This window comes from Homo sapiens, chromosome 3 (assembly GCF_000001405.40).
Source record: "Homo sapiens chromosome 3, GRCh38.p14 Primary Assembly".
In the NCBI taxonomy this organism is placed as follows: Eukaryota; Metazoa; Chordata; class Mammalia; order Primates; family Hominidae; genus Homo; species Homo sapiens.
The window spans coordinates 85890720-85912116 of record NC_000003.12 but is presented as its reverse complement, the minus strand read 5'-3'; the positions used below and the strand labels follow the sequence as shown (position 1 = coordinate 85912116).

General features: G+C 35.6%; 1 protein-coding gene across 17 annotated transcripts in view; it reads right to left on the bottom strand.

Moving 5' to 3' along the window:
* Positions 1–21397, bottom strand: part of CADM2 (cell adhesion molecule 2) — a 1115441-nt gene that overhangs the window by 162313 nt on the left and 931731 nt on the right. The window lies entirely within an intron of this gene.

The window sequence follows — 21397 nt, the reverse complement described above, 5'->3', positions numbered from 1 at the left end:
AAAAAATTAGCCGGATGTGGTGACGGGCACCTGTAGTCCCAGCTACTCGGGAGGCTGAGGCAGGAGAATGGCGTGAACCCAGGAGGCAGAGCTTGCAGAGTGAGCAGAGATGGCGCCACTGCACTCCAGCCTGAGTGACAGAGCAAGACTCTGTCTAAAAAAAAAAATTAATAAATAAATAAATAATAAAAAAAATTAAAAAATTCTAAGAGCTAGATCCAGAAATATTATAAAAGGGTGGGGGCGCAGCAATTTTATTTCTTTGGTCTCAGGCTTACCTAGCTTATAATCAGGCACAAGATATTCTTATATACTCCATTAAAACAATGCATATCATCTTACAAAAGTAGTCTGTCTTTTCTCTTAGCTATAAGTTTTACTAAAACATAATCTTAATTTTCTGAGCCACAAGCACAGTTAGGAAGGGCAAATTTACAACTATATGGCTATGCCTAAAAGAAAGCACAATGCATTTGAAATACAACTTTAACATGAACAATGTGAGGTGAACATAAATTGCTAAAGGATACTTAGGATGAGAAAGTTGTCATCTTTGGAAAGAAAAGGAGCACAGCCATCTGAATATTTTGAATACTTAAGTATATATTTGCAGTGAAATTTACATTGAGATGAATGCTCTTCACTTGGCTGAGGAATTTATTTCAGCATGAACAAGAGTACTTTCTACAAGATGTGAATTCATTTATCGATATTTAAACTTGCTGTGCATGATTTAGATCCATCGTTAAATGGTGCACTAAGGGACTATTTGTTCTTTGTGGAAAAGAGGTTTAGCAATATTTTTGCTTAATTTGTAATTTCTCAAGTCTGAAGTAGCTGATAAGAAGAGGGCAATTTTAAAGGTTTAGAAATCAAACTAATAAGATAAGGTTAAGTTATCATTATAACAAGATCTTAAATGTAGTTGATGGAAAAGTGTATTCAGTTTTCTTGCTTTCTGTCATTTTTTTACATCATTCAGTATCAAATAAACATTGATATTGTCAGTAAATAAGACCTTTCACATAAAATACATAATTTGATTTTAACTTATATTAAGTAATTTATTTTAAAAACATTTTAAAATGTATTAATAACAAAAATGAATACATTCAGTTTTTCTATCTTTGTGCCTTACGCAAAGATTGGGCTTTTAAAATAGTATTGGATTTGATGTAACATTTGATTAATAGACATATGCATGTTCACTAACTTTCACTTATTTCAGAAGTATGACTTTATCATATTGATTGATTTTAAAGATAGAAATAAAATAAACATTAGTAAGAGATTAAATGATAGATGTGATATGTCTTGTTCTTGAAAATATGTTTATAGTTTCACATATTAGGGGAAAATGACCTAATTAAGATTTTTACCACAAAATGTTTTATGTATGTTAGGCAATTCTGAAGAGTAAGAAAATCTCTAACATTTAGAAAGAAGAACAGAACCATGAAGTCTCAATTCCATCTTTTAACTGAAAGTAAATAACACAGGATACAAAATTATACGCAGAATTGTTTATAAACGTGTCCTATGAAATATCTCATCTCATTTTTACTAAAGTCATTTACTAAGATTTTTGCACTTGAAAATTAGGTACAATTCCATTTAAAAATATTAAAGACTCTATGACCTTTCAGAAAAAATATGTCACAATAATTCAGATGCATTTATGATTCTTTGCTTATATTTAAAATATTATAAGGTTCTTTCACTTTTCAGTCTCATAGATTTATACAAATATGTTGCTTCATTTTTACATTTATTTTCTTTTTTTATAACTCTATGCCCAACGTTTACTTGTTCCTAGCTCTAAGCAGTGTCAGAGTAAGAAAATATTGATCTCTTGACAAACAATTTTTATAATTGTGCTACACAACATATGAGAAATTACTCCAAAGTATTACTGCTGGTTGTTTACTTTTTATAACAGCTGCACTTTAAGAACTCACACATCTGCTTCTTTTAGCTGTTTCCCTTACAAAAGTAGCATTTAATGTAATATTAATTGGACACATAACATTTGATAGCAATTGTATAAATCATAAAATTTTAATGAACTAATTCAAGTAAAATAAACAAAAGTGTAATTTGTTGATTTTAATATCGGCTTATGTGATAGATTATAGGGTTACCAGAAGCCTTAAGATGAACAGAAAAAACATTGAGAAGAGCCAATCATAATATCTTTTCTCATATTTTAGGCTGACCTTCTTCCCCAAAGAAATGAATAGAGAAGACACTTAAAATGTATCTCTGCTTTCCCTTTCTGTATTTTTAAAATAACGATGCATTACACAGTTATAGAGCCAACAGAAATTTTCTTTACATTGTATAGTTTATTTGCTGATACCACGTGTATCCTTCTTTCATGTTCTGTCCACTTTCCTTTCCTTTGCATGTCAGTTATATTACATGGTGATCAAGAATAGCCTTCTCAAAATGCAATGCACATATGATCTTGTTAAAATGCAGATTCGCATTCAGTAGGTTAGAGTGTGGAGTCTGAGAGTCTGCTGCTAGCCCACAGACCATATTTTGAGGAGCAAGAGTACAGTGCAAACATTTGACACTGGAGACATAACTAAAGATGGAGTGGGAATAGTGGGACTTACTCTTCCCATCTTTTTCTCTTTTTCTCTCTCTTGTTATTTTTTAATTGTTTCTTTTCAAAAACTTCCATTGGACATTATATATATATATATATATTTCATTTTACATTTTTCAAAATATGCACGTCCTATATATTACATAATGTGTTAATGAAATGACTAGAAAACCTTGAGAACAAACAAGAAACAAAGGAAATTTCAGAATTTCTTTCTTTCATAATCCACATAACCACTCCTCCTACTCTCTCTAGTAGACCTTCTGGACATTTAAATAGTCAAAACGTGGTCACTTTTGGTGGTGAGTCATGTGGGAAACTGACTGGGAGAGAATATATTCGGGTTTTCTGGAGTTAAGGAAATGCTCTACATCAAAAGCGGTGTGAGGTCATCTGCTTTGCAATTTGTGTAAAAATTTTACAGTTAAGATTAGCTTATTTCAATGTATGTAAATTTTCCCTCAAAAATCACAACTGTAGGCCGGGCGTGGTGGCTCACGCCTGTAATCCCAGCACTTTGGGAGGCCGAGGTGGGAGGATCACGAGGTCAGGATATCGAGACCATCCTGGCTAACATGCTGAAACCCCATCTCTACTAAAAATACAAAAAATTAGCTGGGCCTGGTGGCGGGTGCCTGTAGTCCCAGCTACTCAGGAGGCTGAGGCAGAAGAATCGCTTGAACCCGGGAAGTGGAGGTTGCAGTGAGCAGAGACCACGCCCCTGCACTCCAGCCTGGGTGACAGAGTGAGATTCCATCTCAAAAAAAAAAAAAATCATAACCGTAAGTTATTATAATAATTACAATTGAGTGGAGAGTAATTAGAGGGATAGATGAAACAAAGATGGCTGAATGTCGATACATTTAAAATTGGGTGATGGCATGCAGTTTCTCATTCTATTATTGTGCTTACTTTGCATATGTCAGAAATTTTCTATAATAAAATTTTTAAATATACCTAAAGAAAAATTCCTCAAGTATAATTCTAAACAAAAATTAGCTGCCTAAATATTTCTTGGTAAAGTCTCAAGATAAAGGACTTTCTATTAGTTTTTATATTATTTATCTTTATAAAATCTGGATTGTAGAATAGCAATCTCCTTATATTCAGGAGATTAGATCTTTTGTCTTAGCAAGAACTAAGGTGAAAAAAGAAATAGCAAATTTAAGTTCGAGCACTGGAGCACCCAAAATAAGTAAGTTTAAATGCTTCAAGTTAGGTTAACTGGAAAAAAAAAAAAAAAAAAAAGAAGAAAAAAAAAAGCCAAGATATCTTGATTTTCTTGCATCCAATTTTTTTTCACAAAATATCATATTTCCGGAGATACTTTCATATCCATCTTTCCTAGGTTTATAATATTAACTCATCAGGCTCTATATCTAGTTTCTGGCCACTTTTAGAATGAAGTTTTGGAAAAAGAAAATCCTCTTAAGTGAAGTTCCTAGAGAAGTTGCCTTGTCTCCACAGTGGTGCTTATATGCCTTGAGCAGTATAATCTCAACTATTTTGGTTTATTTGCTTTCTCCACTTTTGCGGTTTTGGTGCTATTTAGACAGACTGGAAAAGAAGATATCTTCTTTTTTTTTTTTTTTGAGACAGAGTCTCATTCTGTCACCCAGGCTGGAGTACAGTGGCGCAATCTTGGCTCACTGCAACCTCTGCATCTCAGGTTCAAGTGATTCTCCTGCCTCAGCCTCCTGAGTAGCTGGGATTACAGGTGTATGCCAAAACACTCAGCTAATTTTTGCATTTTTTGTAGAGACGGAGTTTCGCCACTTTGGTCAGGCTGGTCTCGAACTCCTGACCTCAGGTGATCTGCCTGCCACGGCCTCCCAAAGTGCTAGGATTATAGGTGTGAGCCACCGTGTCCAGCCAATACCTTCACTTTTATAATGAAATACTTTCCCTGGATCCTGAAATAGACCTCTTTATCAGCCATCTGCCTAGAGTAGGCCAGTTCTTTTTAATCCATTCCAAGTTCAATAGACCACACTGGGAACAAGGCAGGATTTAGAAACTGAAACTTCCATATTTTCTCATCACTTGAAGGTATCTCTTAGGAATCATGTAGGCTATTAAGTGACATTTCCTATATGGGCCTTGAATTCTCTGACCATGAGCAAAACAGCATGGTCTTAGTGTGTCCCAAACAGTGATGCTTATATGGAACTTGAACTTTACTAGTATTTTCAGAGGTAAGGTTTGTAAAAGTGGTTTTTGATGGATAACATGATAGTTTCAGGGGGAGAAATCAAGGAATTTAGTCTGAATCCACATAATTGTTGTCAGTGGTCCTTTAATGATTTTGTGCCATAACCAGTGAGCTAGATTCATGACCTCATCTCATAGAGAACAGAAAATATACGCATTACATGAGAGTTGGCTTTATTGTCAAAAATTAGGAGTGAACGAACTCAGTGGAGAACTGGACATGTTGTAATTACTGCTTCACAGTTCTGTAAATCAAAATTCCTAAAACTAAATACACCATTTTTAGAACACAGCCAACTTCCCCATTATTTCTTTCTTAACTGACCTAAAGTAACTATGTCTGGCTAATTCATTCAGTAACTTGGATGCATACTTTAAAGGCAATTTGTCTTAGAGGAAATGTCAATACTTTTTTGTGTGTGTCTTAAGGTTAAATGCTCAAAGATATTTTACAAAACACTTTTCTTTAATGTTCAAGCAAAGCTTTTCATTTTGTATTTGTTTTAAACTGTCTCTAGACCAAACATAGTGGCTATATTTTACATTGTATAACTTTAAAGTCTGGTAACCACATTCATTTGTGCACTGAAAAAGAATTCAAACAAATTCTTGAGGCAAATCTCATTCTTGCCTATGAGCACCCTTTCATACAATTCCTGTCTGAAATAGGGTAGATTTTTAAAAGTCCTTATAATATTCAACTTTTTGAAGGAAGTACCAGTCATAATCCTGTTTCTTAACTGACTCTACAGGTATGACCCCACCATTCATTGGTAACATGGATAACTATCCCACTTAGCAAGGAATAGTACTGAAATTCAGCTCTTCTTAATAGATCTGAAAAGGTCAGATGAGAAAAATAATGTTTATGGAAGATTATTAAGAGGAGATACTTCATTTATCTAAATATTAAAGTCTCTTTTTCAGTTTACCCAGACAAGTAAAATGTCAATGCTTTTCATAAAATGTATCTTAAATGTTATTTCGCAGATCTACATTGAGAGGTGCTACAAGAACCAGGTACATATATTACCTGACTCGAAGCCTCAGGGTGGGCTCTATATTTGTCTACATTAGAATGTCCTTTCTCCTCAAATATATTTAAAATGATGTTTTATTGCATGCCCAAAATATAATAACATATGGCAGAAAATTATTTTAAGTCTATTCAGTAGAATAAACTTTAAGGAAATAAAAATATCTACGCATTTGAGCAACTTCTGTAGCAGCAGGCAAGTGTGACTTCTTTGAAACATTTATGATGATGCAATTTTCTGGTAATCAAACTATTTGTTTCATGGAGTCCTGCAGCACTCAGCACATGTCAGAAAAAGCAACCTGCTCCTCATCTACCTATAGTGAAAATGAATAAATGAATCACTTGCATCAGTAAAACATTGTGATGAAATGATAAGTTTCTGAATATATTACAATATTTCTATGTACCATGTACTACCAGAGTTTTTACAATAATTTTTCAACAGGTTACCTTGTATTCTGAGAATCACATCATTTAAAAATTAAAATTACCCATTGGGACATTCACAAGGTTCAATATAAATTATGTATTCATAAAATAAAGATTAGATTAAATTTTTAACTTTGTTATTTCCTTTTTTACTAATTATTTTTCTTTTTCTGTTCATTCTTTCTCTCCCTTCTGCTCTCTTTTCTTTCTTTCGTCTGCAGAAATTCCTAATTTTTATATTTCTCTATAGGTTTTAGACGCTGGGTACAGCATCTAGGACAGTATCTGAAACATCATAGATGCTTAACAAGTATGTTTTTAATTAATTAAAATAAAGGTTGCAATCAGCCAGGTAAAGCTTCTTTTCCTTCTAGTAAGTAGATTCGTTCCATGTCAATATATATAATTCGGGGACAGTTGTCAGTCTTTAATTGATTTTCTTTGTAGTTTATCTCTTTTTAAATCCTCCCATCAGTTTCTGTATTGGAAGAATACAAAATCTAGAGGGATATGACAAAATATTTGGAATTAGACAGACTAACTTTTTTCTTTTACGCAGATCTATATTTACCCTTTGTTTTTCAATTCTATCTTTGCTATTTTCCACAGCCATTGTAATTCTCACTGCAGATCAACTAGATTAGAGTCCCATTTATCAGAACTTCCTAGAGTTGGGAGTTCAGGCATTCACCATAGACAAAAGGGGGAAGAAAGGAGATTGGCAATATCACTAAAGAGAAAAAAACTAAATGAAAAATTACCAAGTTAAAAATATACCTAGCTGTTAAATCTTTTCAATTCATAAACATTTTTCCATATAAATTTTACAAAAAAAGGGGGAATAACATTACTAAACATTATCTATACTTACAAGGAAAAAGAAAATTATAAAATAGTTTCATCTCCTATAGAGGCAAAAAATAAAGACATTTTTTGAATATAAAATAGAAAAGTGCAGATTTTATCTATGAAAAATTAGCAGGAAGTGAGAGACAAAAGGATACATAAACATAAAGCAAGGAATATATTTTTAAGAAGATAAATTAGAATAATTTACGAGTCAATATCGTGAAAACGTATGAGTATGAAAAAGAAATTGGGGGCAACTCCTGAACATCATGCTAAATAAGTAGCTCTGCAGACTTTCTCTCCAGCTAAACAACCATAACTAGTGAAAACTATTCTAAAACACACATACATATTTAAGGTCTCTGAAAATTGTGCCAAGGGTCTATAGCAAATGAACAAATAATTATTTTAAAAAACTAGCAAATCTTAGTAAGAACAGATAGAGTCTATGGTATTTGAACCATGACTTTCTCCCTAATTCAACCTCATCCCCAACTCAGCATTAGGAAAACTGGATAGATGTACCCAAGGTGGAGATCCATGTTTCCTCAACGAAGGACTACGGTCCTTTCCAGAAGAGGCAGGCTGCCAGCATTTCTTATTTCAGTCATTATTACTCTTGGTTGCAAAGTCAAAATTCCAGGTGGTGTGGCTGAAAGGTTGGGACTCTCTTCTTTCACCCAGTCCCTGCTCATATGCCAAGAATAAAGGGACCCCAATAGCTCTCACTTTAGCTCACTTATAGAGGGGAGATTTCAATCCAGAAGAGACAAAGCAAGAAGACCGGAAGCTACCACCATTTTGCCCAGGGAAGAAGCCAGCTATAACAGGGAAGTGTTTTTCTGAAGCTCTCTAAGGGAACGAACTATTTGGAACAGAGTTGGGGGAAGTTCAAAGTGGAGACTTTGGAAGAAAGCAAGTAAGAAAGCCCTTGTGTTTAGATGAGATAAGCACGCTAAACCATAGTTTATAAAAGAAAACCAGAGAAAAAGACAACTAGCAACGGCCTTCCTGTCGTCACAGGTTAAAGAAAATCTCAAAGACTGGCCTCAAGAAAAAACAAAACAAAACAATAAAGCCCAGCAAAGGATTCTAGATGTAAATGGATCAAGCTATAGAACAACTTATGCACATAGCATTATTGAAAACAGTAGGGCAACCAGCTGACAAATAGTGAAGGGGAATCACTGGGTGTGATACTAACGTAAGCAGAGAGCTTAACAGAGACAACAGGAAAGAAAGACATTCAGTGAGAGCCCTGCTGAAGCCATTATCATTCCCACGGTGGCTGTGCACGTGCCAAAGCCTGCGTTTCCTGAGGAATGACATCACACTGCAATAGAAATACCTCATCCAAATCAATAAACAATAAGCCAACAACAACGGGTACTTTTACAAAGGAACTCCCTTGACAATTGACTTTTCATCAAAACCAATGAAGGTCAGAAGGTAGTTGGGTAGCATATCCCAAGTGCTAAAAGAAGGAAAAAATGTCAGATAAGAACCTGATATCCAGTAAAATTATTTTTCAAAAATGAAGGTGAAATAAAATATTTTTCAGGTAAACAAAATCTAAGAGAGGTTATTAAAGCAGTCCTGCCTTACAAGAAATGTTAAGGAAAGTTGGGCTAAAACAAGTGATCTCAGATAGAAAAGGAAAAAAAAAAGCACCAGTAAAGGTAATTGTATAATTAAAAAGAGGTTAAAATGGCATGTTTCTTCTTTTTTCTTCTCTTAAGTGATTAAAAAATAATAATCAGAACAAAGATTATTCAGGGAAACAAAATTAATGATGTAAAACAATTATTTATCATTGTATTACAGGGTCTATAACAAGAAAATGCAATATATTTGACAATAACAGCACAAAGGAAGTGGATAAAAAGTAAGTTTTTCGTAGAATAAGGAAATGATTCTAGGTGGTAACTTGAATTTGCAGGAAGAAATTAGGAGAATTAAAAACATATAATATGTTTTATGTAACAAATTTTAGGTACTTGGTATCCTTGCTTTTCTCAGCTTTATTAAAGACATAACACTATATGAAGTAATAATTGTAATCATGTATTGTTGTGTTTTTAACATCTTAAAATGTAATATGTTTAACAACAATACTACAAAAATGGGAGAAAGAGCAAACAGCTATATTGTAGTAGCATTTCTATATCTTCTAAATTAGGCTATTATGAATCTGATTTAGATTCTGATAAGTTAATATATATGATATGCCTGAGAGCATCTACTAACAATATAATTTAAAAATAAAGTGAAAAATTTTTACAGGAATTTAAATGTTAAACTAGAAAATATTTACTTCATATAGCATAAAGTGGTAAAGAATGAACATAAAACAAAAATGACATGAAACATAGAAGATAAATGTAAAATCATGGATGAAAATAAACCTATATCAATTATTGTAATATCATACATGGAAATTAACCAATATCAATTATAAGATTACAGGTGAGTTGATTAAAAATTCAATCAAAAAGCCGAGATTATAAAACTGTATTTTTTTAAATGATAAAAATATATGCTTTCTACAGGAGACACACTTTAGATTTAAAGATACAAATGGACTGAAAATAAAAGGATGAAAAATAATATATGATACAAACAGCAAGCAATAGAAAGCTAGAGTGACTATACTAATATCAAAGCAGATTTTAAAATAAAATATATTAAAATAATGGAGAACATTTCAAAATGATAGAAAAGACCATCCATTAGAAAGATATAACAATTATAAGTATGTATACATCTATGTAAAGAGAGCACTTAAGGTACGTGAAGCAGAAACCATTTAGTCCAGCAATACTGTTCTCAGGAATATACTCAAGAGAATTGAAAGCATATTTCTACACAAAACCTGGCACCTAAATTTTTATAGCAGAGTTTTAAAATAAAAGCCCCAAAGCATAAAAACCCAAATGCATATCAACTAATGAATGACTAAATAACATATGGAATATGCATACAATGATATATTATTTGGCAATTATAAAGAATAAAGTACTGATATATGCTACAACACAGATGATATTAGCTTATGCTAAGCTAATCACAAAAAACACATAATATATATTTTTGTAGATGAAATGTCCACAGTAGGCAAATTTATACAGACAGAAAGTAGATTTGTGGTTGCTTAGAGTTAGGGTGGAGACAGTTGGGGGAAAGTCGGGAGTTATCACTAACAGGCTTCTTGTAGAATCATAAAAATTTGAAATTGATTGTGGTGAGAGTTTCATAGTTCTGTGAATTTACTAAAAACTATTAAATTGTATACATGAATTTGATGATGTGAATTATATCTAAATAATGTTTCTATGTGAAAATAAATAAAAATAGCTAACCCCAGGTTTGGCTTCAATTTGGGAGGTATACAAATAACACTTTAAATTTAGAGTTACTGATTGAAGAGAAAAATGTGACGGAAAGGTAAGATTGGTTATTCTCTTGGAAGATTACCTTGGAAGACTTTTTATATAATGACTACTTTCAGCAAACAGAGTATTTTATTTCCAAACTAGTAAATAAAATAGCAGACAATGAATGCACTTGAACTTCATGATCCAACTGTAATCTATACTATAACATAATGTAGGTAAAATAATCTATCTCAATCAACTTCCCATTACCAACACAAATGGAAGGTAATTTACCAACTCATTTAGATACTGCTACACTAAGACATCAATTTGATCATATTGTGAAAAATTGTTTGGATCTAATGTCTTTTTATGTTTGTTTGTTTTTGCTTTGTTTTCTTTTTTTGAGATGGAGTTTTGCCCTTGTCACCCAGGCTGCAGTGCAATGGCACCATCTTGGTGCACTGCAACCTCTGCCTCCCAAGTTTAAGCAATTCTGCTTTAGCCTCCCCAGTAGCTGGGATTACAGGTGTGCACCACCACGCCCAGCTAATTTTTGTATTTTTCATAGACACAGGGTAATCAATTAATTAGCGAGTTAATTTTAGTAAAATATGATTCATAAATTTTGTAAAATATCTTATGCATTCAAAGAAGGTCATTAGCCAAAGGTAATGGGAAAAGCTACCTTCTCCTATGTGCCACAAGGATCATGAAGTGAATTTCCATGAAAAATTCAAAGTTAAAGAATGAAAAAGGTATTTTCCTCACATATGAAGAAGCCATAAAATATTTTTTGGAAATAACCTGAAGAAAATTTGAGCAGTAATTAAGTCCCTCCATCACCGGATGAGAGCTATGGAACTAGCAAATTTGAATATTTTTGTTATTATAATGTCAGGATTACTCATGGGCTTATGAGTGCTAGAAGATTAAGGTATGCACTTGCTTTAACCCTTAAATTAAATACGTTGATTAACAACATTAATTAATCACAAGTTTAAAAAGAAGCAATTTCTTTGGTCAATTCCTTGACACTAAGTAAAAGCCAGTAAAAATTTAAAAAAAATGTTTTTATGTATCTCATGATATACATACCGAAATTTTCTTTTCCATTCCAACAATGTATAAGAATTCATAACAAGACTAAATTCCTGTAACTAAGCAAAATAATGTCTAACCTCAAAACTCGCATGATTTTTAATTTAAAATAGCCTGTCAAAATAGGTATGGATGTGTTTCCCTCTCATTCATTTTCATCTTTTAAATTTCTCATAAACCTTAAACAAGCAAAAAGGTTGAGACACACTACCATTGAAATAAAAGTATATTTCTCTACAATTCAAAACAAAATGACAAAGACTACTCCTTCTAGTCTAGATGAAGTAACAGAGACAAATTGTTGTTTTCACCTGAAAACAATAATTTTTAAAACAATTGAACATCATAATGAAAAATGATCTCTTAGAGATGGAAAATAAGTGAGATGAACCCTAAAATAGTCCCTGCTTAATATCTTGAGAGATTTTACACGATGCGTTGCATGGAGGAGAACCCATGCAAAAGAATTTGGTGGCCTCTTTGAGTTAAGGTGATGAAGCTGGGAGCCTGGAAGGCAAAATCAGTTTGCAGAGCAGAGTACCGAGAAGAAGAGAGATGGACAAAGAGTGGACTCCAGACATCCATAGTGCTCCCCCCAGTATTCGCTTAAGAACTAATCAGTGCATCTGTGTAAGGAAACTGAGGCTGGGACAAGATCTATTTGAAAGGATTAGAGGAAATTGCATATGATGTTCAAACAGGACCGTAAATGGTGCCTATTACCATCAGCCAGAACCAAAATCCTTACAATTGAGGGCACTGGATACACAGAAAAATTTTACATCAATAAACAGGAAAAACATAATTCCTAGTCAAATACTGTTCTGGTCTCACTTAATAAATTTTTAAAAACCTCTGAAAGGACTAACCTCTAAATAACTTGACTAGAATAAAGCTTAAGAATATTTATAGCAATATGAAAATATACAACAATAAAAAGATAAATATACAGCATCTGGAACCTAATAAAAAAACCATAATTCATTCAAAGAAGCACGAAAATGCTGTCTACAATGAGGAAATAAATCAATCAATGGAAACTGACCCGAAAATAATTCACCTGGTAGTAATAACAAAGGCATTAAAAATACAAAAATTAACTCAAAATAGATTCAAAACCTAAGCCTAAATGGCAAAATGTATATGTATAATTTTTGTGATCTTGCGTTAGATAAAAATTTCTCACATACAAAACTAAAGCATGATTCATAAAACTAAAATATAATAGTAATATTGCTGAGTGCGGTGGCTCACACCTGTAATCCCAGCACTCTGGGAGGCCAAGGTGGGTGGATCACCTGAGGTCAGGAGTTCAAGACCAGCCTGGTCAAAATGACGAAACCCTGTCTCTACTAATATTACAAAAATTAGCCAGACATGTTGGTGCACGCCTGTAATCCCAGCTACTCAGGAGGCTGAGACAGGAGAATTGCTCCAACCCAGGAGGCAGAGGTTGCAGTGAGCCAAGATTGCACCGCTGCACTCCAACCTGGGAGACAGAGTGAGACTCCGTCTCAAAAAAAAAAAAAAAAAAAAAAAAAAAATATATATATATATATATACACAATAAATGAATTGGATTTTATGAAGTAGTACAAACATTTTGGAAAATGGCAAGGCCTTTAAAAAATTAAATATATGGCTACCATATAATCCAGCTAGTCTGCATCTAGGCATTTGCCTAAGAAAAATGAAGACAAATGGCCATACAAAATTGTACCCACAAATGTTCATAGTAGCTTTACTATAATATCTGCAAACTATAAACAACCTGAATGTCCATCACTGGGTAAACAGGTAACTAATTGTGGCGTATGTATCCATACAATAGAATATTATTCAGCAAGAAAACAGAGAAGAAACTATGTACATGCAACAACATGAATGAGTCTCAAATACTTATGTTGAGACTCAAAAAAAAAAAAAGAAAGATATGTACAGACCCTATGATTCTTTTTATGTAAAATTGCAGAAAATGCAAACTAATCTATTGTACCATAAAGCAGAACAATGGTTTCCTGGGACTGAGGTAGAGAGTGGGCAGAGAAGGCAAAGGGAAGGTGTTGGAAAGGATATAAATAAACTTTTGGGGATAATAAATACATTTTTTATCTTGCTTGTGGTGATGGTTTCACTACTACAGACATTTGTCAAAACTTAATAAATTGCAAAATTTAAATATCTATATATTGATTTTTGTCAATTATATCTTAATAAATTTATTTTTAAAATAAATATGAAAAAGTAAAGACTCTCAATGATTTCTGGTGATTATTCTTTCAACTCAACCACTCATATACACCTGGAACAATCATTATATCTCCTTCTATAGAGTGACTTATGTATCTCCTAGTATTGCCTGAGTCTTGAGGTACTGCGTTTAACACCATTAAGAAAACTTCAAGTTATGTGCACGCACACACAGATATACATACCCACATTTAAATGCTATTAATTTTTTTTTCTCACTTAATATAGTGCCCAGCATGTTCTGGATGAAATGGCAAGGCCACTTTCAAAGCAGTAAGTATAAATAAAGGAACATAAAAATAACAGATCTATGGCATATACTATAAGTTTAAATAATGATATTTTAAATTCATTCTTATACATGATGCAGGGACTTTAAACTCAGGGGACACAAATCTCTTCCTCTTCTTTTATGTTTAATTTCAAAGAATTTGCAATGTCTGGTTTACATGTTAATATTTTACTCATTCAAATTAAAGTTTTATACAACTGATGTTAAATGAGTCCTTAGGACAAAACCAGTTTTGCAACACCAAATAAAATAAATAAAAATATAATCTACCATTTATCAAGTAGTTTCCACAAAGCTTAATCCAAAAAAAAGTAAAACAAGCAAGCAAGAAATAAAGAAATAAAAAAATCGAGTTATATGGCCAGAGACTATTACTAAGATGTAGGTTAGGCCGGGCGCGGTGGCTCACGCCTGTAATCCCAGCACTTTGGGAGGCCGAGGCGGGTGGATCATGAGGTCAGGAGATCGAGACCATCCTGGCTAACAAGGTGAAACCCCGTCTCTACTAAAAATACAAAAAATTAGCCGGGCGCGGTGGCGGGCGCCTGTAGTCCCAGCTACTCGGGAGGCTGAGGCAGGAGAATGGCGTGAACCCGGGAAGCGGAGCTTGCAGTGAGCCGAGATTGCGCCACTGCAGTCCGCAGTCCGGCCTGGGCGACAGAGCGAGACTCCGTCTCAAAAAAAAAAAAAAAAAAAAAAAAAAAAAAAAAAAAAAAGATGTAGGTTAAAGCAATTATTGTTGTAATTCTCAGAAACATTAATAATGCTAACATACATCCTGATTCCATATTACAGAATCCTCCTCTAAGAAAGAACTCATAAGGTAGAAAGAATGTTAAGAGTCATTTTCTAAATTTACTACTTTAGGAAGCCCCTTCCTTTCTTTCCTAAATACCTATTAATGCTTTGCTTATTAGTCTCTAATCCCACGGGTTCTGAAACTCTATTAATAATAAGGAACATTACAGATACATGAGAAATAATGGAATTTTTAGGCCTGACAACCAGGAATTCTGACTTAGTAAGTCTACTTTAAAACCAGGAATCTGCATTTTGTAAACTACCACCTGAGGTGATTCTAATCTAAGTGGTCTAAAGGCCACTTTTTGAGAAGCACAGCATTCAGAAATTCACTCTTCTCCAACTGCCGATATAAGCAGCTTACAGTAAAATTATGCTATATTTTGCCAACTTGAAAATTAGAAGCTGCATTATCTTTGATTGACATTAAAATGTATGGCAAGAACCTACTCACACAAGGAAACATAGCTAATGTCAATTCGAGCTTAATGGCCAAACATTTTGAAACACACGGTATATAATAAGTAAATAATGCTTATAGAATGATGGCAATACCATTAGATCCTGGCAAACTTCAGTGACCCACTACAGAGTCCAGCTTTGGTGCCTAACCAGGTGTACACAGCATAATTCTCAGGGCAGGGAACGCATGTGGAGATAAGTTTTGTTTGAAGCATACTGTACACATCATGAGAAATGGCTATTTTAAAAGGCTAAAACTTATACATTTCTTATTACCGAATGGCAGATCTTTATATATTCAAAATCTCTTTCCTCATTATAAGTCACTTAACTTCAAAAACCTACTATAAGCATAACCTTTTAAATTCTGTATAATTACTTCAACCTCAAACTTTTTTCTCTTTTATTTGAGACGAGGTCTTACTATGTCACCCAGGTTAGAATGCAGTGGTGCTATCATGGCTCTCTGCAAACTCAAACTTCCAGATTCAAATGATCTTCCAACCTCAGCCTCCCAAGCAGCTAAGACTAATGTGCCACCACACCCAGCTAATTTTTAAATTTTTTGTAGAGAGAGGATCTCATTATTTTGTCCAGGCTGATGTCCAAGTCTTGGGTTCAATTGATCCTCCTGCCTCAGCCCCACAAAGGGCTGGGATTAGAGGCATGAGCCACCATGCCCAGCCTTAACCTCAACATTTTAAAGAATGAACTGTATTAGTCCATTCTCACACTACTAATAAAGACACCCCCAAGGCTGAGTAATTTATAAAGAAAAAGAGGTTTAATGGACTCACAGTTCCATATGGCTGGGGAGGCCTCACAGAAAGCAAAAGAGGAGCAAAGGCTGGGGAGGCCTCATGGCAGAAAGCACAGGAGGAGCAAAGGCATGTCTTCCATGGCAGCAGGCAAGAGAGAGTGTGCAGGGGAATTGCCCTTTATATAACCATCAGATCTCATGAGACTTATTTACTATTACAAGAACAGCATGGAAAAACTTCCCCCACGATTCATTTACCTCCCACTGGGTCCCTCCCATAACACCTGAGAATTATGGGAGCTACAATTCAAGATAAGATTTGGATGGGGACACAGATTGCCCCCACATCTCAAAACCAATCATGCCTTCCCAACAGTCCCCTGAAGTCTTAACTCATTTCAGCATTAACTCAAAAGTCCACAGCCTAAAGTCTCATCTGAGACAAGGCTAGTCCCTTCTGCCTATGAGCCTGTAAAATCAAATGTAGTTAGTTACTTCTTAGATACAATGGGGGTATAGTTATTGGGTAAATACACCTGTTCCAAATGGGAGAAATTGGCCAAAATGAAGGATCTACAGGCCCTGTGCATTGTCACAATCTGGCAGGACAGCCAAATCTTAAAGCTCTGAAATGATCTCCTTTGACTCTATGTCTCACATTCAGGTCGCACTGATGCAAGAGGTGGGCTCCCACATCCAGGTCACACTGATGCAAGAAGTGGGCTTCCATGGCCTTAGGCAGCTGCACCCAGATGGATATGTAGGGTACAGCCCCCCTCCCAGCTGCATTCATAGCAGGCGTGAGTGTCTGCAGCTATTCCAGGTGCAGGCTTCAAGCTGTCAGTGGATCTACCATTCTCAGGTCTGAAGGACAGTGGCTCTCTTCTCACAGCTCCACTAGGCAGTGCCTCAGTCGGGACTCTCTGTGGGGGTTATGACCCCAATTATCCTTCCACATTGCCCTAGCAGAAGTTCTCCATGAGGGCCCTGCCCCTGCAGCAAACTTCTGCTTTGACATCCAGGCATTTCCATACATCCTCTGAAATCTAGGCAGAGGTTCCAGAATCTCAATTCTTGAGTTTTTGTACCCACAAGCTCAACACTGCATGTAAGCCACTAAGGCTTGGGACTTGCACCCTCTGAAGCAGCATCCTGAGCTGTAAGTTGGCCCCTTTTAGCCACAGCTGGAGCTGAAGCAGCTGGGTGCAAGGCAACATGTCCAGAGGCTGCACACAGAAGAAGTCCCTGGACCTGGCTCAGGAAACCCTATTTCCCTTCTAGGACAATGGGCCTGTAATGAGAGGGGTTGCCCTGAAGGTCTCTGACATGCCCTGGAGACATTTTCCTCATTGTCTTGGTGATTAACATTTGGCTCCTAATTACTTATGCACATTTTTGCAGTCCACTTGAAGTTCTCCCCAGAAAATGGGGTTTTTTTTTTATACTTTAAGTTTTAGGGTACATGTGCACAACATGCAGGTTAGTTACATATGTATACATGTGCCATGTTGGTGTGCTGCACCCATTAACTCGTCATTTAACATTAGGTATATCTCCTAATGCTATCCCTCCCCACTTCCCCTACCCCACAACAGTTCCCGGTGTGGATGTTCCCCTTCCTGTGTCCAAGTGTTCTCATTGCTCAATTCCCACATATGAGTGAGAACATGCGGTGTTTGGTTTTTTGTCATTGCAATAGTTTGCTGAGAATGATGGTTTCCAGCTTCATCCATGTCCCTACAAAGGACATGAACTCATCATTTTTTATGGCTGCATAGTATTCTATGGTGTATATGTGCCACATTTTCTTAATCCAGTCTATCATTGTTGGACATTTGGCTTGGTTCCAAGTCTTTGCTATCGTGAATAGTGCCGCAATAAACATACGTGTGCATGTGTCTTTATAGCAGCATGATTTATAATCCTTTGGGTATATACCCAGTAATGGGATGGCGGGCTCAAATGGTATTTCCAGTTCTAGATCCCTGAGGAATCGCCACACTGACTTCCACAACGGTTGAATTCGTTTACAGTCCCACCAACAGTGTAAAAGTGTTCCTATTTCTCCACATCCTCTCTAGCACCTGTTGTTTCCTGACTTTTTAATGATCGCCATTCTAACTGGTGTGAGATGGTATCTCATTGTGGTTTTGATTTGCATTTCTCTGATGGCCAGTGATGATGAGCATTTTTTCATGTGTCTTCTTGCTGCATAAATATCTTCTTTTGAGAAGTGTCTGTTCATATCCTTCACCCACTTTTTGATGGGGTTGTTTGTTTTTTTCTTGTAAATTTGTTTGAGTTCATTGTAGATTCTGGATATTAGCCCTTTGTCAGGTGAGTAGATTGCAGAAATTTTCTTCCATTCTGTGGGTTGCCTGTTCACTCTGATGGTAGTTTCTTTTGCTGTGCAGAAGCTCTTTAGTTTAATTAGATCCCATTTGTCAATTTTGGCTTTTGTTGCCATTGCTTTTCGTGTTTTAGACATGAAGCCCTTGCCCATGCCTATGTCCAGAATGGTACTGCCTAGGTTTTCTTCTAGGGTTTTTATGGTTTTAGGTCTAACATTTAAGTCCTTAATCCATCTTGAATTAATTTTTGTATAAGGTGTAGGGAAGGGATCCAGTTTCAGCTTTCTACATATGGCTAGCCAGTTTTCCTAGCACCATTTATTAAATAAGGAATCGTTTCCCCAGAAAATGGGGTTTTCTTTTCTACTACATCAGTAGGCTGCAAATTTCCCCTACTTTTATGCTCTGCTTTCTCTTTACTGTTTTACCACTCAGAAATTTCTTCTGCCATATACTCTAAATTATCTCTCTGAAGTTCAGTTGTTCCAAAGATCTCTATGGCAGTGGCAAAATACCACCAATCTCTTTGCATGGCAAGGATGACCTTTACTCCACTTCCCAACAAGTTTCTCATCTCCCTCTGAGACCACCTGAGGCTGAACTTTGTTGTCCATATCACTATCAGCATTTTGATCAAAGCCATTCAAGAAGTCTCTAGGGAGTGCCAAAGTTTCCCACATCTTCCTGCTTTCTGAGCCCTCCAAGTCTGTAGGCAAGTCTAAATTTTCCCACATTTTCCTGTCTTCTTCTGATACCTCCAAACTGTCCCTATCTTTCTGCCTGTTACCCAGTTTCAGAGTCGCCTCCACATTTTTGGGTAACTTTACAGCAGTGTCTCATTAGTGTATTAGTCTGTCTCATGCTGCTAATAAAGACATACCTGAGATGAGTAATTTATAAAGAAAAAGAGGGTTAATGGACTCACAATTCCACATGGCTGGGGAGGCCTCACTATCATGGAGGAAGGTGAAGGAGGAGCAAAGGCACATCTTACATGGTGGCAGGCAAGAGAGCGTGTGCAGGGGAACTGCCTTTATAAAGCCATCAGATCTCATGAGACTTATTCACTATTATGGGAACAGCATGGGAAAAACACACCCCCATGATTCAATTACCTCCCACCAAGTCCTTCCCATGACATACGGGGATTGTGGGAGCTAGAATTCAAGATGAGATTTGGGTGGGGACATAGCCAACCATATCATGAACATATTATAATTTGTGTGTGAATTAATTTCTCCTACTGCCTCTCATTTTCTTAATGAGCAAACATTCATTATCCAAGTCATTTAGGCACCTGAATTTTATAATCTTAATGCTTGCTTTTACTCCATCTGTCCAGATCATTCACCAAGTTCACTTGAAAGTTATCTTCTCTTTCAGAACCATTTCTTTGTAAAAAATTCCATTGTCATCCATTAGTTCAGGTACTTACCAGCTCTTGCTTGCAATGCCTCTTAAGTACTAAGCTAGTCTTCAGACTTCTCCCCAAACCCAAGTGCTGGGTCTTAGAATCAGAATATTCAAGGCTAGTCTTTGCCAGATGTGTGACCATGAAAAAATATTCTGTCTCTCTAGATCTCAGTTTCCTAATACTGCTGTGTAACACATTACTGTAAGTTTAATGGCTTAAAACAACACATATTTATTATCTCAGGGTTTCTGTGAGTGAGGAATCAAGGTATGGCTAAGCCTTGTCCTCTGCTCAGTGTCACTTGGCTAAATAAAGATGTTAGCTGGGGCTATAGTTTCAATCTGAGTTAGGGTCCTCTTCAAGCTCTCTGATTGTTAGTAAATTAATTTCCTTGAGACTATATGTCTGATGTCCCCATGTTCTCACTAGCTATCACCTGGGACTGCTTTCAGCTCCTAGAGGTCACCCACAGTTCTTTGCCACATGGCACCCGTAAACAATTCACAGCATAGCTATTTGTTTTCTTCTAGGCCAGGAAAATAATGTCTCTCTGACTCTACCCCTTCTTAAAGACCTCGTCTCATTGTATGAGGCCCATCCTTGATAATCACCCTTTGATGAACTCAAAAGGGGCCCACAGTGATAACTGCAAAACCCATTTTGTAATATAAAGTATCATATTCGAGGCAATCATATCACATCATATTCACAATTATCTCCTACATGCTAGGGGAAGGGTTTATACAAGGGTGTGGATAATTAAGGATTATCATAGAATGCTGCCTAATGCATTAATGTAAAAGCTAGTTAGGTAGAAAAGATCTCATGGTTTTGTAATAGCAAATCCTCAAACTGCACAGAACTAAACTTATACATGGAATGACAACTTTAATGTAAATGTAAGCTCTTAGGGAGCTGACAGACTTAGGAAGGCAATGCACATCTTTTCTCACACTAAGTAGCAGATATTCACTTTCTTGCTATGCAGAAGATTAAAGGCTGCAGTGAAACTACCTGTGGTTTTGGATGCAGCTCTGCCCAGAGGCACCAAAGGGATTTCTGAGTAAAACTCTCATAAAGGGGATAAAAAACAGAGTTGGATGAAATTATGATTGTTTCATTTTACTTTTGAAAGCTTATTAAAAAAAAGTCTCACTATTGCCTATAGAATAAATTTCAAACCCTTAATCTGGAATAAAAGCTCTTTCATGACATAACTGAACCCTGCCTCTCTGTTTACTTCTCATGCCTATACCACACATAAAGTTTCATAGTTATTTCAATCACATGCTGTTACTCTGCATAGATATATGAAATTCATTTCTTCAAAGTGTCCTACCACCTACTTTTGTCCCAAACACATATGATGAATTCTACTCCTTTGTGAAAGAAAATAGGAATCTCAGGATCCCAAAATCACTGCGCCAAAGGGAAAGTTAAGCTTGGGATC